We start from the raw sequence: 25410 nt of genomic DNA on the forward strand, positions 1-25410 counted from the left end.
GTTATTTCTTGCCTTCTGCTAGCTTTTGAATGTGTTTGCTCTTGCTTCTCTAATTCTTTTAATTGTGATGTTAGGGTGTCAATTTTGGATCTTTCCTGCTTTCTCTTGTGGGCATTTAGTGCTATACATTTCCCTCGACGCACTGCTTTGAATGCATCCCAGAGATTCTGGTATGTTGTGTCTTTGTTCTCGTTGGTTTCAAAGAACATCTTTATTTCTGCCTTCATTTTGTTATGTACCCAGTAGTCATTCAGGAGCAGGTTGTTCAGTTTCCATGTAGTTGAGCGGTTTTGAGTGAGATTCTTAATCCTGCGTTCTAGTTTGACTGCACTGTGGTCTGACAGACAGTTTGTTATAATTTCTGTTCTTTTACATTTGCTGAGGAGAGCTTTACTTCCAAGTATGTGGTCAATTTTGGAATAGGTGTGGTGTGGTGCTGAAAAAAAATGTATATTCTGTTGATTTGGGGTGGAGAGTTCTGTTAGATGTCTATTAGGTCCGCTTGGTGCAGAGCTGAGTTCAATTCCTGGGTATCCTTGTTGACTTTCTGTCTCGTTGATCTGTCTAATGTTGACAGTGGGGTGTTAAAGTCTCCCATTATTATTGTGTGGGAGTCTAAGTCTCTTTGTAGGTCACTCAGGACTTGCTTTATGAATCTGGGTGCTCCTGTATTGGGTGCATATATATTTAAGATAGTTAGCTCTTCTTGTTGAATTGATCCCTTTACCATTATGTAATGGCCTTCTTTGTCTCTTTTGATCTTTGTTGGTTTAAAGTCTGTTTTATCAGAGACTAGGATTGCAACCCCTGCCTTTTTTTGTTTTCCATTTGCTTGGTAGATCTTCCTCCATCCTTTTATTTTGAGCCTATGTGTGTCTCTGCACGTGAGATGGGTTTCCTGAATACAGCACACTGATGGGTCTTGACTCCGTATCCAATTTGCCAGTCTGTGTCTTTTAATTGGAACGTTTAGTCCATTTACATTTAAAGTTAATATTGTTATGTGTGAATCTGATCCTGTCATTATGATGTTAGCTGGTTCTTTTGCTCGTTAGTTCATGCAGTTTCTTCGTAGTCTCGATGGTCTTTACATTTTGGCATGATTTTGCAGCGGCTGGTACCGGTTGTTCCTTTCCATGTTTAGCGCTTTCTTCAGGAGCTCATTTAGGGCAGGCCTGGTGGTGACAAAATCTCTCAGCATTTGCTTGTCTGTAAAGTATTTTATTTCCCCTTCACTTATGAAACTTAGTTTGGCTGGATATGAAATTCTGGGTTGAAAATTCTTTTCTTTAAGAATGTTGAATATTGGCCCCCACTCTCTTCTGGCTTGTAGGGTTTCTGCCGAGAGATCCACTGTTAGTCTGATGGGCTTCCCTTTGTGGGTAACCCAACCTTTCTCTCTGGCTGCCCTTAACATTTTTTCCTTCATTTCAACTTTGGTGAATCTGACAATTATGTGTCTTGGAGTTGCTCTTCTCGAGGAGTATCTTTGTGGCGTTCTCTGTATTTCCTGAATCTGAATGTTAGCCTGCCTTGCTAGATTGGGGAAGTTCTCCTGGATGATATCCTGCAGAGTGTTTTCCAACTTGGTTCCATTCTCCCCGTCACTTTCAGGTACACCAATCAGACGTAGATTTGGTCTTTTCACATAGTTCCATATTTCTTGGAGGCTTTGCTCGTTTCTTTTTATTCTTTTTTCTCTAAACTTCCCTTCTCACTTCATTTCATTCACTTCATCTTCCATCGCTGATACCCTTTCTTCCAGTTGATCGCATCGGCTCCTGAGGCTTCTGCCTTCTTCACGTAGTTCTCAAGCCTTGGTTTTCAGCTCCATCAGCTCCTTTAAGCACTTCTCTGTATTGGTTATTCTAGTTATGCATTCTTCTAAACTTTTTTCAAAGTTTTCAACTTCTTTGCCTTTGGTTTGAATTTCCTCCCGTAGCTCGTAGTAATTTGATCGTCTGAAGCCTTCTTCTCTCAGCTCGTCGAAGTCATTCTCTGTCCAGCTTTGTTCCGTTGCTGGTGAAGAACTGCATTCCTTTGGAGGAGGAGAGGTGCTCTGCTGTTTAGAGTTCCCAGTTTTTCTGCTCTGTTTTTCCCCATCTTTGTGGTTTTATGTACTTTTGGTCTTTGATGATGGTGATGTACAGATGGGTTTTTGGTGTGGATGTCCTTTCTGTTTGTTAGTTTTCCTTCTAACAGACAGGACCCTCAGCTGCAGGTCTGTTGGAGTACCCGGCCATGTGAGGTGTCAGTCTGCCCCTGCTGGGGGGTGCCTCCCAGTTAGGCTGCTCGGGGGTCAGGGGTCAGGGACCCACTTGAGGAGGCAGTCTGTCCGTTCTCAGATCTCCAGCTGCGTGCTGGGAGAACCACTGCTCTCTTCAAAGCTGTCAGACAGGGACATTTAAGTCTGCAGAGGTTACTGCTGTCTTTTTGTTTGTCTGTGCCCTGCCCCCAGAGGTGGAGCCTACAGAGGCAGGCAGGCCTCTTTGAGCTGTGGTGGGCTCCACCCAGTTCGAGCTTCCTGGCTGCTTTGTTTACCTAATCAAGCCTGGACAATGGTGGGCGCCCCTCCCCCAGCCTTGCTGCCGCCTTGCAGTTTGATCTCAGACTGCTGTGCTAGCAATCAGTGAGACTCCGTGGGCATAGGACCCTCCGAGCCAGGTGCAGGGTATAATCTCCTGGTGCGCCATTTTTTAAGCCCGTCGGAAAAGCACAGTATTCGGGTGGGAGTGACCCGATTTTCCAGGTGCCATCTGTCACCCCTTTCTTTGACTAGGAAAGGAAACTCCCTGACCCCTTGCGCTTCCCGAGTGAGGCAATGCCTCGCCCAGCTTCGGCTCGTGCACGGTGCGCGCACCCATTGACCTGCGCCCACTGTCTGGCACTCCCTAGTGAGATGAACCTGGTACCTCAGATGGAAATGCAGAAATCACCCGTCTTCTGCGTGGCTCACGCTGGGAGCTGTAGACCAGAGCTGTTCCTATTCGGCCATCTTGGCTCCTCCCCCCATAGATGTTAATTATATCCAGTTAATTGATGGTGTTGTTGAGTTCAACTTTGTCCTTACTGGTTTTATGCCTGCTGGATCTGTCCATTTCTGACAGAGGAGTATTCAGGTCTCCAACTACAATCATGGATTCATCTATTTCTCTTTGCAGTTCTGATGTTTTTGCCTCTCATTTTAATGTATGTGGTTAGGCACATACATATTAAGGATTGTATATCTTCTTAGAGAACAGACCTCTTTATTGCTATGTAATGCCCCTCTTTGTCCCTGATAACTATTTTTGCTTTGAAGTCTGCTCTTAATGAAATTAATAGAGGTACTCTTGTTTTCTTTTGATTAGTGTTAGTATGGTATATCTTTATCCATTTGTTTTTAATCTATACTGTCTATTTTTAAAGCTGGTTAATTGTAGACAACATATACTTGGGTCTGGTTTCTTCATCCACTCCAACAGTCTCTGTCTTTGATTGGTGCATTAGACCACTGACATGCAAAGTGATTATTGATATAGTGGGATTAATACCTACTCTATTTGTTAGATTTTTATTTGTTGCCCTTGTTCTTTGACCCTGTTTTTGTCTTCCACTCTTTTTCTGTCTTTTGTATTTTTAATTAAATACTTTACATGGTTCCATTTTCTCTGTTATACTTTTTTCCATATCTATTGTATCTGTTTATTTAAACATTTTTTAGTGTTTGCCCTAAAATATGCAGTATACATTTGCAAGAATCCAATCCTTCAAATAACACTATACTGCTTCATGGGTAGTGTTTTTAGTAACAAAGTAACCCAATTCTTTCCTCCTATCCCTTGTGTCAATGCTGTTATTCATTTTACTTATATGTAAGCATACATAAGCATATAGATACACATAAGATATATACATAAGCATATATAACCTAATACGTTATTGCTATTACTATTTTGAAAACTGTTACATCTTAGATCAGTTAAGAATAAGAAAAATAGAAGTTTTTAATTTTTCCTTCACTTTCTTCTCCTTCTGTATTCATATTATGCATATGTTTATATTTTGTAGTTGTTTCACAGTTCTTGAATATGCTGTCCTGCTTTTTCTAGTCTTTATTCTCTTTGCTTTTCAGTTTTGGAGGTTTCTACTGATAGATCCCCAGTCTCAGAAATTCTTTCCTCAGCCACGTTCACTCTACTAATAAGCCATCAAAGCCATTCTTCATGTCTATTACATGGTTCAAAAAAATTGTTTATATAGATGTATGGGGTACAGGTGCAATTTTGTTACACGCATACTGGTCAAGTCAGGGCTTTTATGGTATTTATCACCAGAATAACATACATTGTACCTATTAAGTAATTTCTCCTCACCTGCCCTCTCACCTCTTCCCCTTTCTGAGTCTTCATTGTCTATAATTCCACTCTTTAGCTCCATGTGTCCACCTTTTTTCTCAGCATCCACTTACAGTGTTTACAGTGTTCTCATGTTTCTTTGTTTCTTTTCTTTTTAAATTTCGAGACAGGCTACAACAGAATCCAAATCCATAGGTAAAGCAAACTACTCATGTAATTTCAAAGCTGAAGTTGATAGTATATTTGTACCCAATATGAATGGTTCACCTGCATGAGTTTTGAGTTCTCAAAGGCCAGTAGCCTCCTTTCCCTTTTATGCATCTTGAGTACACTTGAGTTAGCCTATGATACATGAATACCTACAAAGTTGAGGCCTATAAAACTTACATGGCAAGCAATTTGAAATGTGCCAACAATGTGATACTGGAGCAACCATAGTGCTGAGAACAGCTTTGACTACTGCAGGAAATCCACAAACCTCAAATTTAGATGAAAACATTTTTGAACTTAATTCATACTGAGGGACAAATTATGGTAATAGTGGAGGGAAAGTCTTTTTATGTGAGATACAGGAGGCTCCTTTAGCTCTTTCACCTCCTAGAGTCACCATAGTGGTACCTTCATTTATTCCTTCTCAAATATTCCTCCCATCTTCATTTAGATCTGAGTTTCAGGCCTATATTATTTTCCCTCTTTCTGAAGAACTCTTGACATTTCTTTCAAGGCATGTTTACTGACAACAAAGTCCCTCAATTTTCATTTGAGAAAATCTTTGTTTCCCTTTTGAATGAAAATTTTGCTGGATACAGAATTCTAAATTGGTGATTTATTTCTTTCAACACTTTATTTTACTCTACCTTATTCTTGTTTGAGTCGTTTTTGAAGAGAATTCCAACGTAATACTTATCCTTGTTCCTCCAGTAGGTAAGGGGTTTTTGTTTTGTTTTTGTTTTTTTGCCTTCCTATAGCTTCTTTAAGGATTTTCTTTTGTCTTTGATTTTCTGCAGTTTATGTATGATATTCCTGGGTGTAGATATTTCTTGGTATTTTTCCTGCTTGGCATTGTGTGAGCTTCCTGAATCTTTGGTTTGGTGTCTGCTATTAATTTTGGAAAATTCTCAGCCAATGTTTCTTTATTTTTTCTGTTCCTTTTTTTCTCCTCCTTTTGTTAGTCCCATTATACCTTTATTATCCTTCTGTAAGTGTTCCACAGTTCTTGGATATTTGCACCATTTCTTTTCAGTCTTTCTTCTCTTTGCTTTGCAATTTGGCAGTTTCTATTAACATATTTGCAAACTCAACAATTCTTATCTCAGCCATATCCAGTCTACTGCTGAGTCCATCAAAGGCACTCTTCATTTCTGTGAGACAGACATAATCTATAGGTGAAAGGAACTGATGTAAATACACCTTTAGTGTGAGATTTTATGCTTATCTGGCTAAGAGCTCTGCATGTATTCCTGTCTGTCTCCCAAAGTGTAGAAAGATTTTTTTTGTTGTTCAGTTTCTCTTAGGACAACAGGTCGTTGTCCACAGTATGTGACTCAGCACCCTTGGATGATGAAGTTGGCTAAGATGTTGGCAGGCAGAGAATCACCCATGGTGTTGCCAGTGGTAGTTACCGAGAAGCCAGCTGGGGTGCTACTGAATTCTCTGGGGAGCTGACCTCTGAGAGTTGCCCTTCAGGGTGCTGGAAAGACTAGCTGGGAAGTGTACCTGTGAGGACAATCCTGAAACTCACTTGGAAGCTGCCCTATGGTATGCTGGCCAAACTCACTAGAAAGCCACCCTTAGGAGTGCCAGCAAAGCTCACTGGGGAGGCATCTTCTACCTATCTCACATGCCACTGGCAGCTATGTGCAGCAAGAACAAACCAAAAAAGCACTCAAATCAGGAAGTGGAGCTCCTTCTTCCCTCAGCATCTTTCTAATGCCCTCTACTGGCAAAGCTTACCATTGTCCAACTAACAAAGGGAAATGTTCACAGGATCCAGCTCTGCCATCCCAACCCAGGACAAAGAAGCGTGAATTTATAACTCAAATGTAATAAATTAATAACTGGCAGAACTGCCCATTACACATAGGATATATTCCAATTCTTTGCCAGCACCTATAATGATTTACTCTCTACCTATTTCTTCAACATTATTGGAGGTCCACCCTGCCTACTTTCCACCATTTTAGCCATTCTCTGTTATTTGCACACTCCAAGCTCATCTTACCTCAGAACCTTTGCCCTTGCTATACTCCATGCTTGGAACAAGTTTCCCCTATATCTTTATATAACTAGCTCTCTATTAATATTTGGGTCTTTGTTAAATGTGACCTCATTTGAATAATCTAAAATGAGCCCACATGCCTATAATACCTTCTGTTGTTTTGCTGTTTAGTTTTCTTCACGGTACTTATCACTAAATTATCCTTTTTTTTTTTTTTACTATGTTCTTATCCACATAGTAATAAGCCAAGTAAGAGCCAGACCATAATCTATATTACATATCAGCAATAAGAAGAGTACCCGGCAAGTAGTAAGTGCTCATAAAAAATACTATATAGTTGTTGAATGAATGAGTGATCTCTGTTTTATAGCTGAGGACTGAAGCTCAGAGAGAGAAAGTAACTTTCCCAAAGAACACAGCTAGCAAGTGCCAGAGTCAGGAGTCACCTCAGGTCCTCCTGATCACAGTGCTCTGATTGTCATGGCTCTGTACCACCACCTCCCTGAGTGCTGGAAAGAGTGTAGCTGAGGTACATGTTACAGTGGAGTCTCTAAAATAATTGAGCTTTTGTTATCTCATTACCCATTTTTTTCTTTCTATGGATCTGGCTCTCTACTGTGTGTGCATAGATACAGATCCATGTACTCGTGCCCCCTACTCAGAATAATAATGTGTTAAATATCTTTCAAAGAAAGAATTATTAGACAAAGTCATGGAACTCTTCACCAAAAAGATGACCTTCAAGAGGGGCCATGCGCGATGGCTCACGCTTGGAATCCTGGCAGTTTGGGAGGCCGTTCGAGACCAGCCTGGCCAACATGGTGAAACCCCGTCTCTACTAAAAATACAAAAATTAGCCGGGCTTGGTGGTGTGCACCTGTAGTCCCAACTACAGGAGAATCGCTTTCACCCGGGAGACTGAGGTTGCAGTGAGCCAAGACTGTGCCACTGCACTCTGGTCTGGGTGACAGAGTGACACTCTGTCTCAAAACAAAAACAAAAACAGAAACAAAAACAAAACCTTTGAAATACTTTGTAAAATTAGAAATTGGGTATTGAGAAAAATAAAAATACATCAAATGGAAGACAGGAACCTAGATCCCATTTTTTTCTTTTCTTTCTTTTCTTTTTTTTTTTTTTTGATGGAGTCTAACTCTGTTGCCCAGGCCAGAGTGCAATGGTGGAATCTTGGCTCACTGCAACCTCCGTCTCCTGGGTTCAAGCAATTCTCCTGTCTCAGCCTCCCGAGTAAGTGGGATTACAGGCGCCCGCCACCATGCCTGCCAAATTTTGTATTTTTAGTAAAGATGGGGTTTTACCATGTTGGCCAGGCCAGTCTCCAACTCCTGGCCTCAAGATATCCGCCTGCCTCGGCCTCCCAAAGTGCTGGGATTACAGGCGTGAGCCACCATGCCTGGCCCCAGATCCAGTTGTCTAATACCATTCTTCAGTAAAATAAACCAGGGCTCTTAGGAGAAGTGGTCAATTCTAGCACTGGGGCAGGAAATACAAACATAGGCCTAAGGTACCAGGGCATAAGGAAGTGTTCAGAAAACAAAAAAATCACACAACGATGGGGATATGTTAAAAGGAACTGTAGCCAGAGAAGGGTTCCTAATGGCTGAAGACAGAAAAACTTGAGCAACAAAGTCAACAAAATAGTATTGGATTATAAAGTATAAATAAATATCCACGAGTCTGTCCATACTGATACAAATAAATGATTGAATAAATAAACAAGTAGTGGAGAATAGGTGGATCTCCCATACAGAAGAATCCCAAAAAATTTATGTAGATACTCTGTCCTCAAGGAGGTAGAGCATAATTCCACATTCAAGTGTGGGTTGCGCATACTGACTTCCTTCAAAATAATACAGTTATGGAGAGAGGAAAAACTAACTTCATAGTGGAAAAATCTGACAAACCCCACCTCAGCCAGGGGATCAAGGTCAGCATCAATGGTATATATTTTTGATATGATGTGATAAGAAAGGCATATTATTTCCATAGTCTTCCTCAGCAAACCCCAAACATCAGCCTAATCGTGAAAAAATCATCAGGCATCTCCCAGTTGAAGGGCCTTCTATAAAATACCTGGCCAATACTCCCCAAATCTGTTAAGGTCTTAGAAACTGTTTTTTAAAATTATTATTATACATTAAGTTCTAGGGTACACGTGCACAATGTGCAGGTTTGTTACGTAGGTATACATGTGCCATGTTGTTTTGCTGCACCCATCAACTCGTCATTTACATTAGGCATTACTAATTAGGGTTACTAATGCTATCCCTCTCCCATCCCCCCACCCGCCAACAGGCCCCAATGTGTGATGTTCCCTGCCCTGTGTCCATGTGTTCTTGTTCAACTCCCACCTATGAGTGAGAACATGCGGTGTTTGGTTTTCTGTCCTTGTGGTGGTTTGCTTAAAATGATGGTTTCCAGCTTCATCCATGTCCCTGCAAACGACACGAACTCATCCTTTTTATGGCTGCATAGTATTCTATGATGTGTATATGTGCTACATTTTCTTAATCCGTTCTATCATTGATAGACATTTGGGTTGGTTCCAAGTCTTTGCTATTGTGAATAGTGCTGCAATAAACATACATGTGCATGTGTCTTTGTAGTAGCAAGATTTATAATCCTTTGGGTATATACCCAGTAATGGGACCACTGGGTCAAATGGTATTTCTAGTTCTAGATCCTTGAGGAATCGCCACACTGTCTTCCACAATGGTTGAACTAATTTACACTCCCACCAACAGTGTAAAAGCATTCCTATTTCTCCACATCCTTCCAGCATCTGTTGCTTCCTGACTTTTTAATGATCACCATTCTAACTGGCATGAGATGTTATCTCATTGTGGTTTTGATTTGCATTTCTCTGATGACCAGTGATGATGAGCATTTTTTCATATGTCTGTTGGCTGCATAAATGTCTTCTTTTGAGAAATGTCTGTTTATATCCTTTGCCCACTTTTTGATGGGGTTGTTTGTTTTTTTCTTATAAATTTAAGTTCTTTGTAGATTCCAGATATTAGCCTTTTGTCAGATGGGTAGATTGCAAAGATTTTCTCCCATTCTATATGTTGCCTGTTCACTCTGATGATAGTTTCTTTTGCTGTACAGAAGCTCTTTAGTTTAATTAGATACCATTTGTCAATTTTGGCTTTTGTTGCTATTGCTTTTGGTGTTTTAGTCATGAAATCTTTGCCCATGCCTATGTCCTGAATGGTAGTACCTAGGTTTTCTTCTAGGGTTTTTATGGTGTTAGGTCTTACATTTAAGTCTTTAATCCATCTTGAGTTAATTTTTGTATATGGTGTAAGGAAGGAATCCAGTTTCAGCTTTCTACATATGGCTAGCCAGTTTTCCCAGCACCATTTATTAAATAGGGAATCCTTTCCCTATTTGGTTGTTTGTGTCAGGTTTCCCCATTGCTTGTTTGTGTCAGGTTTGTCAAAGATCAGATGGTTGTAGATGTGTGGTATTATTTCTGAGGCCTCTGTTCTGTTCCATTGATCTATATCTCTGTTTTGGTACCAGTACCATGCTGTTTTGGTTAGTGTAGCCTTGTAGTATAGTTTGAAGTCAGATAGCATGATGCCTCCAGCTTTGTTCTTTTTGCTTAGGATTGTCTTGGCTATGTGGGCTCTTTTTTGGTTCCATACGAACTTTACAGTAGTTTTTTCCAATTCTGTGAAGAAAGTCAGTGGTAGCTTGATGGGGATGGCACTGAATCCATAAATTACCTTGGGCAGTATAGCCATTTTCATGATATTGATTCTTCCTTTCCATGAACATGGAATGTTCTTCCATTTGTTTGTGTCCTCTTTTATTTCATTGAGCAGTGATTTGTAGTTCTCCTTGAAGAGGTCCTTCACATCCCTTGTAAGTTGGATTCCTAGGTATTTTATCCTCTTTGTATTAATTGTGAATGGGAGTTCATTCATGATTTGGCTCTCTGTGTGTCTATTATTGGTGTGTAGGAGTTCTTGTGATTTTTTGCACATTGATTTTATATCCTGAGACTTTGTTGAAGTTGCTTATCAGCTTAAGGAGATTTTGGGCTGAGATGATGGGGTTTTCTAAATATACAATCATGTCATCTGCAAACAGAGACAATTTGACTTCCTCTTTTCCTAATTCAATACCTTTTATTTCTTTCTCTCGCTTGATTGCCCTAGCCAGAACTTCCAATACTATGTTGAATAGGAGTGGTGAGAGAGGGCATCCTTGTCTTGTGCTGGTTTTCAAAGGGAATGCTTCCAGTTTTTGCCCATTCAGTATGATACTGGCTGTGGGTTTGTCATAAATGGCTCTTATTATTTTTAGATACGTTCCATCAATACCTAGTTTATTGCGAGTTTTTAGCATGAAGGGCGGTTGAATTTTATCAAAGGCCTTTTCTGCATCTATTGAGATAATCATGTGGATTTTGTCTTTGGTCCTGTTGATGTGATGGATTACGTTTATTGATTTGCATATGTTGAACCAGCCTTGCATCCCAGGGATGAAGCCAACTTGATTGTGGTGGATAAGCTTTTTGATGTGCTGCTGGATTCAGTTTGCCAGTATTTTATTGAGGATTTTTGCGTTGATGTTCATGAGGGATATTGGCCTAAAATTCTCTTTTTTTATTGTGTCTCTACCAGGCTTTGCTATCAGGATAATGCTAGCCTCATAAAATGAGTTAGGGAGGATATCCTCTTTTTCTATTGATTGAAATAGTTTCAGAAGGAATAGTACCAGCTCCTTTTTGCACCTCTGGTAGAATTTGGCTGTGAATCCATCTGGTCCTGGACTTTTTTTGGTTGATAGGCTATTAATTATTGCCTCAATTTCAGAACCTGTTATTGGTCTATTCAGAGATTCAACTTCTTCCACTGGTTTAGTCTTGGGAGGGTGTATGTGTCCAGGAATTAATCCATTTCTTCTAGATTTTCTAGTTTATTTGCATATAGATGTTTATCATATTCTCTGATGGTAGTTTGTATTTCTGTGGGATTGGTGGTGATATCCCTTTTATCATTTTTTATTGCGTCAATTTGATTCTTCTCTCTTTTCTTCTTTATTAGTCTTGCTAGCGGTCTATTTTGTTGATCATTTCAAAAATCCAACTCCTGGATTCATTGATTTTTTTGAAGGGTTTTTTGTGTCTCTATCTCCTTCAGTTCTGCTCTGATCTTAGTTATTTCTTGCCTTCTGCTAGCTTTTGAATATGTTTGCTCTTGCTTCTCTACTTCTTTTAACTGTGATGATAGGGTGTCGATTTTAGATATTTCCTCCTTTCTCTTGTGGGCAGTTAGTGCTATAAATTTCCCTCTACACACTGCTTTAAAAGTGTCCCAGAGATTCTGGTACATTGTGTCTATGTTCTCACTGGTTTCAAAGAACATCTTCATTTCTGCCTTTATTTTGTAATTTACCCTGTAGTCATTCAGGAGCAAGTTGTTCAGTTTCCATGTAGTTGTGTGGTTTTGAGTGAGTTTCTTAATCCTGAGTTCTAATTTTATTGCACTGTGGTCTGAGAGACAGTTTGTTGTGATTTCTGTTCTTTTACATTTGCTGAGGAGTGTTTTACTACCAATTATGTGATCAATTTTAGAATAAGTGTGATGTGGTGCTGGGAGGAATGTATATTCTGTTGATTTGGGGTGGAGAATTCTGTAGATGTCTATTAGGTCCACTTGGTCCAGAGCTGAGTTCAAGTTCTGGTTATCCTTGGTAACCTTCTTTCTCGTTGATCTGTCTAATATTGACAGTGAGGTGTTAAAGTCTCCCATTATTATTGTGTGGGAGTCTAAGTCTCTTTGTAGGTCTCTAAGGACTTGCTTTATGAATCTGGGTGCTCCTGTGTTGGGTACATACATATTTAGGATAGTTAGGTCTTCTTGTTGAATTGATCCCTTTACCATTACGTAGTGGCCTTCTTTGCCTCTTTTGTTCTTTGTTGGTTTAAAGTCTGTTTTATCGGAGACTAGGATTGCAATCCCTGCTTTTTTTTGCTTTCCATTTGCTTGGTAGATCTTCCTCCATCCCTTTATTTTGAGCCTATGTGTGTCTTTGCACATGAGATAGGTCTCCTGAATACAGCACACTGATGGGTCTTGACTCTTTATCCAATTTGCCAGCCTGTGTCTTTTAATTGGGGCATTTAGCCCATTTACATTTAAGGTTAATATTGTTATATTTGAATTTGATCCTATCATTATGATGTTAGCTGGTTATTTTGCCCATTAATTGATGCAGTTTCTTCATAGTGTCCTTGGTCTTTACCATTTGGCATGTTTTCATAGTGGCTGGTACCGGTTGTTCCATTCCATGTTTAGTGCTTCCTTCAAGAGCTCTTGTAAGGCAGGCCTAGAGTGACAAAATCTCTCAGCATTTGCTTGTCTGTAAAGGATTTTATTTCTCCTTCACTTAGGAAGCTTAGTTTGGCTGCATATGAGATTCTGGGTTGAAAATGCTTTTCTTTAAGAAGGTTGAATATTGGCCCCCACTCTCTTTTGGCTTGTAGGGTTTCTGCCGAGAGATCCGCTGTTAGTCTGATGGGCTTCTCTTTGTGGGTAGCCTGACCTTTCTGTCTGGCTGCCCTTAACATTTTTTCCTTCATTTCGACCTTGGTGAATCTGACAATTAATGTGTCTTGGGGTTGCTCTTGTTGAGGAGTATCTTTATGGTGTCCTCTGTATTTCCTGAATTTGAATATTGGCCTGCCTTGCTAGGTTGGGGAAGTTCTCCTAGATAATATCCTGAAGAGTGTTTTCCAACTTGGTTCCATTCTCCCCGTCACTTTTGGTACACCAATCAGATGTAGATTTGGTCTTTTCACATAGTCCCATATTTCTTGGAGGCTTTGTTCATTTCTTTTTACTCTTTTTTCTCTAATCTTGTCTTCTTTCTTTATTTCATTAATTTGATCTTCAATCACTGACATCCTTTCTTCCACTTGATTGAATTGGCTATTGAACCTTGTGCATGCATCACGAAGTTCTTGTGCCATGGTTTTCAGCTCCATCAGGTCATTTAAGGTCTTCTCTACATTGTTTATTCTAGTTAGCCATTCATTCTTCTCACCTTTTTTCAAGGTTTTTAGCTTCCTTGGGATGAGTTAGAACATGCTGCTTTAGCTCGGGGAAGTTTGTTATTACCGACCTTCTGAAGCCTACTTCTGTCAACTGGTCAAACTCATTCTCGTCCAGTTCGTTTCCTTGCTGGCAAGGAGTTATGTTCCTTTGGAGGAGAAGAGGCGCTCTATTTTTTGGAATTTTCAGCTTTTCTGCTCTCATTTCTCCCCATCTTTGTGGTTTTATCTACCTTTGGTCTTTGATGTTATTGACCTACTGATGGGATTTTGGTGTAGCTGTCCTTTTTGTTGATGTTGATGCTATTCCTTTCTGTTTGTTAGTTTTGCTTCTAACAGTCAGACCCCTCAGCTGCAGGTCTGTTGGAGTTTGCTGGAGGTCCACTCCAGACCCTGTTTGCCTGGGTATCACCAGTGGAGGCTGCAGAACAGCAAATATTGTTGCTTAATACTTCCTCTGGAAGCTTTGTCCCAGAGGGGCACCTGCCTGTTTGAGGTGTCTGTTGGCCCCTACTGGAAGGTGTTTCCCAGTAAGGCTACACGGGGGTCAGGGACCCACTTGAGGAGGCAGTCTGTCCATTCTCAGAGCTTGAACACAATGCTGACAGAACCACTGCTCGCTTCAGAGCTGTCAGATAGGGACGTTTAAGTCTGCAGAAGCCGTCTGCTACCTTTTGTTCTACTATACCCTGCCCCCAGAGGTGGAATCTATAGAGGCAGTGAGCCTTGCCGTGCTGCGGTGGGCTCCACCCAGTTCGTGCTTCTTGGCCTCTTTGTTTACACTGTGAGCTACTCAAGGCTCAGCAATGGCAGATGCTCCTCCCCCAGTCAAGCTGCAGTGTCACAGGTCAGACTGCTGCACTAGCAGTGAGCAAGGCTCCATGGGTGTGGGACCTGCTGAGCCAGGCACAGGAGGGAATCTCCTGGTCTACTGGTTGCTAAGACTGTGGGAAAAGCACAGTATTTGGTCAGGAGTGTACTTTTTCTCCAGGTACAGTCTGTCATGGTTTCCCTTGGCTAGGAAAGGGAAATCCCCTGACCCCTTGCGCTTCCCGGGTGAGGTGATGCCCTGCCCTGCTTCAGCTCACCCTCTGTGGGCTGCACCCACTGTCCAACCAGTCCCAATGAGATGAACCAGGTACCTCAGTTGGAAATGCAGAAATCACCTGTCTTCTGCATTGATCTCGCTGGAGCTGCGGACTGGAGCTGTTCCTATTTGGCCATCTTGGAAGCAACTGCCCATCTTAGAAACTCTTACAGCCAAGAGGAGACTAAGGAGACATGCTGACTCAATGTAATGTGGTGTCCTGGATGGATCTGAGGAAGGGAAAGAGGATATTTGGTTAGGAAACTCTGAACAACTAAAGAAATCTGAGTAAAGTATGGATGTTAGTTAATATTCATGTATTAGAATTGGTTTACAGTGGTTACAAATTATAGAGGACACTGGGTATGTGGTATAGTTATACGAGAACAATCTGTACTCTCTTAGCAACTCTTCTGTGATTCTAAAACCATTCTAAAATAAAAAGCTTCCTTAAAAAAAATTGATGGCAGAGCAGGAGTAAGTATTTTTGTTTTGTAACCTTGGAAAAAAGAGAGTTGAGGCAAAATCCACAGAGGACTAGAACCTGTATTCCTATCTGGTGTGGGAGGAGAGAGATGACATTTGGTTGGGAGAAGGCTGGAGCCAAGTTATGGTGTTCAGTTTGTTTCTGCTCTGCTGTCATAGGGCTCTTCCTTGGAGGAGCTATAGCTCTATGGAACCGTATGAATGGGAGAGTAAGGTTCAACAGTTCGTTGGTGTGACCTGGGTGTATGTGCACATGCGGATGCATTGTGTACATGCAAACTCAAATCCCCATAGCATCCAGCTAGGAAGTCTAAATGAGCAAAGCAAGTTGGGTATAAGAAATAAGAAAGTGCTGGGAGCTATGCTTAATAGGAGACACAAGCCTCAAATAGCAGAACAGCTGCTGCTCTGTTCAGTGCCGGGTGATTTTTGCTGTGCGGGAAGGTGAACTGAGATGCATTTTCTGGTATTTCAAAAGAAGCTGAAAATCTAGATTTACTTTTTGAATGTGGAAAATTCTGCTTTTTAAATGTTGGCAACTATTTCAGAAAGTTTTTATTAATCATCATGTATGCCCAATCTGTGTTGAAGGAAATGTGTCTGTGGACTGCACACAGTCCATACCACCAGGTTGCAATTATTTCTGTCAACCTGAGCTATGCTGAGTCCGGTGGGCTAATACAGATGAGGCAGGGCTGTGTCTGTGTGGTGTAGAGCATGGAGTCAGTCTGTGTCCTGAGCTGTGATGAGATCATTCTGTGAGAGTAAATAACTGAGCTTGTACTTGAAAGTTGAGGACAATGTGGAGAACAAAGAGCTAAGAGCACAAGCAAAGGTCCAGAACTAGAACATCACAGGGTGTGTTTTGGAGACTGGATGATTTGAGTAAAGAATCATGAAGAGCAGAAGTAGTTATCAGGCTAGAAAGTTAGGCTGGAGCCAGATAAGGATGGGCCTGAGTATTTGGAATATATACTGTTGGCAACAGATGACTAAATACTCGGGTTCTCTTGAAGGAGTACAGGGCAGAAATCAGGAGATAGAATGAGAAATTTGACATTTACACCAGAACTTTCCAGCCACAAAGAGCAAGGTAGAGTCAATTAATGCACTGAGTCTAGTTAGAATGATTGGGTTAAGGTGAGAGTGGCCATTCCTAACACTTAGCAAAACAGTGTGTATGCATATGCCTGTGTGCAGTTATTTGATTATACATACACTTTCCAGCTGGGCTAGGCTGGCCTATCTGGGCCCAGTCAACTGCTGTGGACACTGAGCTTTAACACCAATAAGTGCGTGCCGTATTCATCCTCATTCTCATTTCTTTCTCAGTGCCTCTTGACCCTCCAAGGATTATTGCACTGATCCAGAACTGCTAAAATGGAGAAAGCCAGGCCTGACCTGTGCGCACAGCACACAGCATTGATATTTGATGTGAGATTAGGTCAGAGTCAGCCGGGAAGCCTTCTAAAGCGTGGCATACAGCCAACAAAATGAAAAGGCTTTATTCTGGGGGGAAATGTTTCCCTCTCTGCCTGGCTTGCTTTCCTTATCCTCCCTTAGACATCCTTTCCCCTAAATTCTAGTTCATTATTTTCATTTGAAACTCTCAAATTCCACTGGGCCACTAGCTGACCACATTCCTCCCTAAACAATAGCATTCTATTTTAAACACTTATTGTGCCAATGTTGACATTTTAATAGCCCAAGAGGGGCTGAAATAACTACTCCTACCTCACCACCATCACCAAGGAGATCAAGTATCATTTCTAGGATTTATGGTAAGCCCCTCACGGTGAAAGCACAAAAATCAGAGGCCAGGAAATTGGCAGCTACGTATTTTAAATAGGATTTCGGTAATCTTTGGCTGGTCTTTCCTAACAATGTTGAAGTTGATATTTTGTAACTTAACATTGGTTCTAGTTCTGCCTGGTGAGTAGCTCTAATCTCATTTTCATTATGTGAGAAAACACTTATTAATTAGTAGAAACTATTGGCAAACTTGATATAGTTGTGAATGAATAATGTAAATCCCTAGTGGGGCCCTTCCCAAACCCTTGCTCCCCTTCCTAAATAAGCAAACAGAGGGAAATTTCTGATTTTAGTGGGATGATGTACCACTGATTACCCAACATTGCTTATGACTTTACCATTAAGATTTATAATGAAAACTCTTTTATCTATATGTAACAGGAATTAAACTTTATGCAACAAGTTAAATAACAAACTTTCTCGATATCCAAATGAGTGCTTTCTTTATCCAAGTTCATCAGTGTAGGGGAAAGTCCTAACCTTATTTCAAAAATGTGCAAAATATTTTGTAATAACTAGGTAATTCTAAAAACATATAAGGAATTATCTGAAGTTAAGTGTGGTGAGTGAAGTGGATGATTGATAGTCATTTGGGAGCAGTAAAGTGGGTAAGAGTAAAAATTAATGAGACAGTCTTCTTCACGTGGTTCAAAAAACAGCTTCTGAAGGCAGTTTCCCTGGAAGAGCTCCAGAAGTGTTCTTGTATGTGGCAGTAAAGAAAGACAATACTCCTGATGACTGGTAACCAAGTAATGCTGGCTTAAACAGTTACTTATGTGATAATCAAACTTCCCTTGCTGATATAAAAGTTTTTATGTATTCTTGGTTTGATCACTCCTAATTTGTCTGCATGCAAGGAGAACCAGACTTAAGGTAGGATCCACTCATTTACTGACTGATTGCTTATTGAATGCCTTCTCTGTGCTGGACAGTAGGAGTAAGATGAGGAGCACTGTGGACTTTGTCCCTGCCCTCATACATTTATGATAAGGGGTTGTGGGGTCAGGGCATGGAAAAAACAAAAGGCAAATCTTTAAGACAAACTGATTGGAAACGACTGCTATTGGTTAAATACACCCACATGTTGAGATAATTTGTACTTTCCCAAAACATTATCTTGATAACATTATAGTCCCAGAAAGCGTTAGGGAATGTAGTAATGAAACTTTGGCAGGTCTTGTGCCTCTACAATGTTTGTGTTGCTCATGACCTTTGTACATGAATGCTTTTGCCCATGTGGCCAGTCAAAAAATGACCTGGTTGACCTGTTTTTCCAAAAGACCTTTGACCAAATCTTTGATGGACAAACAGAGAATCATGTTTTCAAGAAGGATCTACTTGCAAGCAAAGTTCTATAGTGTAGTCAGGGAAGGCTCTATGAAGTAATGAACTCTTCTGGCAAAGATCTGAAGGATGAGTAGAAAATAGTCTGGTCATGAGCTAGGGGAAGTGATTTACAGGCAGGAGTAACATGTGGAATACAGAATAATTTGACTTTAATAAATTTCAAATGGTAAAAATTTTCCAAAGTTCAAAATAGAAACATAACATCCCGTGATATTAGAAAATCTCATTACTTTACTTTAGTCTGGCCAGAAATGTGTCAAGAGGAAGACTTCAAAGAGGTAGATTTCATCTCTCTGGCCTGTAAACAAAATGCCCAAAACACTTCCCCAAGGCTTAAAGTCAGTTTGTAATTACTCTTTTCATCACCTCAGAAGAATTTCCAAACTTTAGTAACGTAGTAAAATTTTTTTTGGCCTTTGTGAATAAATACTATGAAATTTGGTTCAAAAGATAAAGCAAAGAGCAACTGAGGTCTTCAAAACATCATGTATCTAGAAGGTATTACCAAACATCCGTTTTTTTTAAAAAAGCATAAGGCATAAAATCAATTCACTAATGTCATGCTAGAGTGAGGTAGTAAAATGAGGCAACTCAGACCAGATGGTGTAATTCATAAACAGGGCTGTCATTTGGGAAAACGGGTGGAGTGGATGGAGAAATTAACTTGCAGTCTTTCCCCTTCCATTTCTTCCCAATCCAACTAACCTTATTCCTCTGGGTCATTTAGCTGTGGCTAAAACACACACACACACACACACACACACACACACACGTGTGTATATATATAATATATATATAATATACTTTTTACTTATAGCCATAGGTAAATGGTGAATGAAGTAGATGATTGACCTGTGTGCATAGCACACAGCATTGCTATTTGATGTTTGATGAAATATCAATGCTCTCAGAATAAATAATTAAATGAGTGTATATATATAGACACACACACACACACACACACACACACACACATATATTTCTTTTTTAAAAGAGTGTAATTGATGCCAAAGCCACTTTCTCTTCAGAGCTGCTTAACTACATGAAGAGTGTGCACCAACCTGGGGTTGCAAAGAGTTCTCTACCTTGTCCGGCTTCTGGAAAGGATGTGCGCTTTGCTCAATGGGGAATGGATAAGATGAGGATGTCCCACTGCTGGTTGGTTAGTACATTTTTGTAGATGAAGCAAAGCACATCTGTTCTTATACAGAATCTCATCTTTAAAAGGGACCTCAGATAGCATCTAATTCAAAAACTCATCTAATGCAGTGCAGTATTCCTCTAAGATACATACATAAATGCTGGCTAAATGCCCCCAGGGATGGAAGTTTACTGCCTCACAAGGCAGCCAATTATCTTTCTGACAGGTGCCATTCTTCCTAATACTGAGGTAAAGTCCATTGTTCTTTAGCTTCCACAAAAAGCAGTGATAATACTCTTGACGGCTTGCCCTGTGCCAGGGTCTGTGCCAAGGAGCTTCATATGCATTGTTTGTAACACTTGCAACATTAGTGGCAGGCAGGGATCATCCTGCACATTTTACAGGTGAGGGAACTGGCACAAGGTCACACAGCTAAGAGAGAAGGATCTAGTCTGGCTAAATCCAATGCCTAGGCCAATTTCTTGACACCATGCATAATTCCTGTTTCAAATTTCTATATGTGAAGGCACCTTTTAGACTCTTCTGTTTTCTCATTGATTTCTCATATGGCATGCCTTCCAATGCTTTCAGAATATGCTATGACAGTATCTCTATAAAAATATAAATCAATACAAAAGTTATTGACCCCTAGAAAATGACAATCACATACTTCAATTAAAATGAGTAGTACAAAGAGACTTCCTTGAATCTTTTAATAATGGCATTTATTTTTACATAATAACAGCAGCATATTGGTTAAGACATGGATTTAGGTAGATTTGACACCTGGTTTCAACATTCATTAGCTGTCAGATTCGGGGCATTTTATCTAACTTCTCAAATTATCAGTTTCTCACTTACAATGTGGGGATGATGATGATGCCTATGTTTTAGAATTGTGAGACTTGACATAGTACATATAAAGCACTTAGTATGATGCTGGCACTATCTTCAATAAATGGTATTATTATTTCTTTATTTGCAGCAAACCAAAACCCGTATGATTGTTGTCAAGTAAGACTTCCCCTACATCATGTTTGTAAATTAGAATGTTAGCTATAATTATAAGAAATTGAAAAATTCATGTTGTCTAATCAATATTACATTTTAGCCAGTAGTTTCAGCCAGGATCTTGGTTCTCTCATTAAATATACTGGTAATCTTTTTCAATTTTGTGTCACCTGCAATTGTTAAACATATTTTCAGTATCTTTATCCAAGTTGTTGCTAAAAGTGATTGAACAGGGAAATCAATGTTTGTTCCCATCTGTGGGTGCTGTTAACAGCTTCGTATGTGTGTTTTACAGTCACATATGTAATTTTCCCTGTGCTTTTCTGTCTATATCATACACTTGTTGTATCCCCTAGTGATCTCTGAAGTTTTAAGCTGTCTTTGACCTATGATTCTGTACATCTCCTGATATTGACATAGCTGAATCTATTAACTAACTTCTAAAATGGAAACCAGGACACCTGGGGCTCAGCACTAGCCTTTCCCCAGTGTACTTAAGCCCTCTGTGGCTCCATTTTTCATACTTTTAAAACTGAGCAAATATTTGCCCTCTCCTTCCTTTCAATGATATGGTGAAAATGAATTTAAAGCAATTATAAAAAGGACATGTGTTCTTATAATTGGTAGCATATCATTTACAGAGAAATTCCTCATCTGGTCACTATCTAAGTAGCTAAACAACTAAACATTAGCAAGAGAAGTCTTTGAGCAGTCAATGTAAATGACACCAAGTCTATGCATTTATCATGTGCTTTACTCATAGACTCATACTTATTCACAGTCCCATTACATACACACATCTAACAAGCTTGTTTATTTCATTTCCCAGTCCACAGCCAAATAGAGGAAGAAAGTGGATGGAGACTGCCCAAAGTGGGTAAATTGAAAGTAGCAAGAAAAGGCCAGGTGCGGTGGCTCATGCCTGTAATCCCAGCACTTTGGGAGGCCGAGGCGGGCAGATCACGAGGTCAGGAGTTTGAGACCAGCCTGACCAACATAGTGAAACCCTGTCTCTATTAAAAATACAAAAAATTAGACAGGCGTAGTGGCGTGCACCTGTAATCCCAGCTACTTGGGAGGCTGAGGCAGGAGAATTGCTTGAACCTGGGAGGTGGAGGTTGAACTGAGCCGAGATCGCACCATTGTACTCCAGTCTGGGCGACAGTGCGAGACTCCATCTCAAAAAAAAAAAAAAAAAAAAAAAGTAGCAAGAAAATAATCATTTTGAAAGGTGAAAAAAAAAAAGACAAGAGAATTATAAAAATTAGAAACTCAAAAAGTAAAGAAGCCTGAGACCACTAATTAAAGGGGAAAGATAGCCTTAAACATCAGTTTTCAAGAACATTACTGAATTACAAGTTAATACTATAATTGATGTTCAAAATGATTATTCATTATTGTGTTGGACTTCCGTGTTTTCACATGCTCAGCATTCATTCTGCTCTCCTCTGGAGGCAGCACTATGATTTTTCTTCAGAAAATTACCCTTCCCAATTTGTATTCTGTTCCAAAGGAACCATCATGTAAGGAGCTTTCCCATCTCCTGAACAAGGCTGAGCTTATGGTCCAAGACAAGTCAGTCACCTTTTTGCAGGAATTTGGATGTTGAGCAGAGCCAACACAAAGCTACTGGGCTGGCTCATCCTTATGGTGGTATCCTGAATTCTTCCCTTCCACGTAGAACCCTGGAGCTGCATGGTCCCTGACCTTTTCAAGACTGGTTGTCCAATTTTCTTTTAATTTGGAAGACTACTTTAAAACATTCTAATAAAATATGTTAGTCAAAGGTGGTCTTTGGCTGCTCACAGCTTGTGTTTCATAACTGACACAGATTCATTAAAGGGATCAATTTTGTTCTATATGCAGTGTTCAAAAAGCCACAGATATTTGTAATAAAAATTAAAAATAGGCCAGGCATGGTGGCTAACACCTGTAATCCCAGCACTTTGGGAGGCAGAGGCAGGAGGATCACTTGAGCCCACCATTACGAAACCAGCTTAGACAACATAGTGAAACCCCATCTGTACAAAAATACAAACATTTAGCTGGGCATGGTGGTGTGTGCCTGTAATCCCTGCTGCTCGGGAGGCTTGAGGTGGGAGGATTGCCTGAGCCCAGGAGGTTGAGTCTGCAGTGAGCCATGATCACGCCACTGCACTCCAGCCTGGGTGACAGAACGAGACCCTGTGTTAAAACAAACAAAACAAAAAACCCCCCAAATTAAAAATATTTCCATCCAACTTGGTTAAAATAGAATTGAAAACCTTTAGCATTAAAGGGATGTTTCCATTATAAATAAGTTACTAATTTCCTAACCATACTAGATGAATGAGTTGTTATTGCATACAAATCCAAAAATTATTACATTTTATTGTAGCTTGAATATATCTTGGTGAACTCATTTTCTTAGAGTGGCTCTGGTTAGCTCTTTATTAAAATGACAACTGATGTCACAGAAGCTGCCTGAGGACACATCTAAAATGAACATGCTTTTAGTGGTGGTTAAAATACTTTGAACAGTCAACAAATATTTACAGCTCTTTTTGTGTAACGTGCTGTACTAAGTGCTGGGATAAAGCAGTGAACGGGGTGGACATAGCCTCAGAACTCCCGGAGCTTGTGGTCCAATAGCTCAGTAAAGGTCTACTGAATGAAAGGGAGACTTCCCTTTGCTCACAATGAGGTCATTCCTCATGTTTTTGCCAATGTATTTTTCCTGCCTGGATAATCCACCCTCTGACCTTTATCCACATCCTTTACCCATTTCTTTTTCAAGGTCCAGATCAAACAGCAAGTTCTCCACTAAGCCTCTAACAATAATAACACTGATGGCAGCTAAACATTTATTGAGCCTGATGCTAACCTCTTTACATGGATTACATAACTCATTTCTCACAATGCACTATGAGATATTTACATATAATTCTTCAGTAACCCAATTGAGGGGAATTGCAGGGCAATTAAAAAATACGTATAACTTAAAATGTTGAACTCAGCATGCCCAGAACTACTAGAATCTTTTTGAGCATAGAACTTAAAATGTAAGGTGCGAAGAAAACAATTTTATATTTTACTGTGCCTCAGAATTGCTTGGTGGGGTCTTTTAAGAAATAAAGATGCCAGAGTACATTGTCAAAATTTCCAACTAATTAAAAACACACAAGCACACATATGCAGAACACAGTACAGAAAATTGCCGCAAATATCTTCTAAAGATAACCACAAATTGCACTTTATGTGTTTCCATTCAGTTTTTCTTCTTTTTTTGTAGCTATAATCTTTTAGACATAATTTTAGGATAGGTATCACCTTATCAGTGAGATCTTTCCTTACCCACCTCCATTCCCTGTCCTCATTACTGCTTAAGTTTTCTCCAAAGAATTTCTTACCTTCTATTTATTAATTACTTTTTAATTTACTTTGCTTCCTCAGAGTAACTTATCTCCCCACCTCCCCGTGGCCCCACTTCCACATACATACTAGAATGTCAGCTCCATAAGGGCAGAGATTTTTGTCTACTTTGCTCACTTCAGTATCTACAGTCGTTAACAGAGTGCCTGGCATGGAGAGGTAGCTTAGTATCTCTTTGTCCAATGATGGATACCTGAATGAATACAACTGTCAAAGTGCCCTTCAGAAATGCTGTACTATTTCCACTTCTACACGAAGGGTAAGGCAGTGCCATGTGGAAGGTATATTTTTAATGGGTGGGACCTTGAGTCATCCCTTGAATGCCACCTGGGATCTCTGTGGCAGGCACTTGCAACACCAAAGGAGTGTACACTGTGCCTGGGGCCAAGGGCAGGTGCCATACACAAGTGCAAGGCCATACTGAAGAGGCCACCTGCCCTCAAATGGGTTCAACAGGAATGCTTTTTAAAGCAATGCCCCAAAATTGGTTTTAGCACTTGATTGTATAACCTGACCACATTATGAGTTCTGGAATTTGTTCAGGGCTGTGTCCTGTTTCCTTTAGATCACATCTTTCTCTCACCCAGATTGCCTAATTTTTGAACTTTTAAAGAGCAGAGTACTGCTTTCAGTGCTATTTAGTCATTTCCCACAGCTCTTCATCCCTTTAGAGTAGCTTTTATAGTTACTTGGGCCATTTTGGGTAGTGGACATTGGATTACTATTTTTGTTCAACCAAATAAATGGAAGGCTTCTTAGTATTATTAATGCTCAAAACATGCAACCCACACTCCTATTATGCAATTGAATATTGTTTTGAAGTCATCCTGTAATTACAAGATTTCCTTCCAAATCAGACAATAGGTCTGAAAGTAGTAATTTTGACCTAAATATGTGCAAGAGCTTGAAGGGCTTCTTATAAAAACTAAGAGGAAGACCAAGTTTAGTGGAAAAACACCCAGGCTAGGATTTGGGAGACCTGGGTCCCACTGACATCTCTGCCAATTATTGGCTCTCCAAGTCCCCCTTTGGTTGGGTAATGGGGCCGTCCATCCTAACTCACTCTATTATGTGGAATATAAATATGGGAATCACAATGAAAACTGTAAAATTATATTACATCTAAAAGGCTGCCATGTTTTCTTAAACACTGGTTAATTATGGTAGGTAGAAAGAGGTCTTTTGAAGGCTTTTAGAGCTCATTTTCCCAAATTGTTTTGTGTGGACCTCTGCTTCAGGGAGATGTATTTAGTCAGCTTTTGCTGCATGCCAACTTCAATATCAAAGTGGCTCATATTCCATACACATTCCTATGCTTGCTCGTCTGCAGTTCAGTTAGAGTTCAGTCCTGAAGTTTAAGTTGAAAGGAAGAAACTTGATCTTAGTGGGTACTTAATCTGTTCAGCTCACTAAAAACAAAAACAAAAACAGCTCAGTTGTATGGAAGGAGCATGTTAACCACAAAAAGTAGGG

The 25410-nt window shown here is 40.1% G+C and overlaps 1 protein-coding gene across 3 annotated transcripts in view, besides 1 other annotated feature; it reads left to right on the forward strand.

Annotated features, from left to right (window-relative positions):
• Positions 1-25410, forward strand: part of LEPR (leptin receptor) — a 220908-nt gene that overhangs the window by 32648 nt on the left and 162850 nt on the right. The gene's annotated exons all lie outside the window — the stretch shown is intronic.
• Positions 14085-14641: an enhancer, noted in NCBI's record as "NANOG-H3K27ac hESC enhancer chr1:65933067-65933623 (GRCh37/hg19 assembly coordinates)". NCBI's record gives its function as "activates a minimal SCP1, AML or CMV promoter by ChIP-STARR-seq in naive and primed H9 embryonic stem cells {active_cell/tissue: H9 hESC(naive and primed)}" and the evidence as "EXISTENCE:reporter gene assay evidence [ECO:0000049][PMID:30033119]".

The sequence above is a fragment of the Homo sapiens genome, chromosome 1 (genome assembly GCF_000001405.40).
Source record: "Homo sapiens chromosome 1, GRCh38.p14 Primary Assembly".
In the NCBI taxonomy this organism is placed as follows: domain Eukaryota; kingdom Metazoa; phylum Chordata; class Mammalia; order Primates; family Hominidae; genus Homo; species Homo sapiens.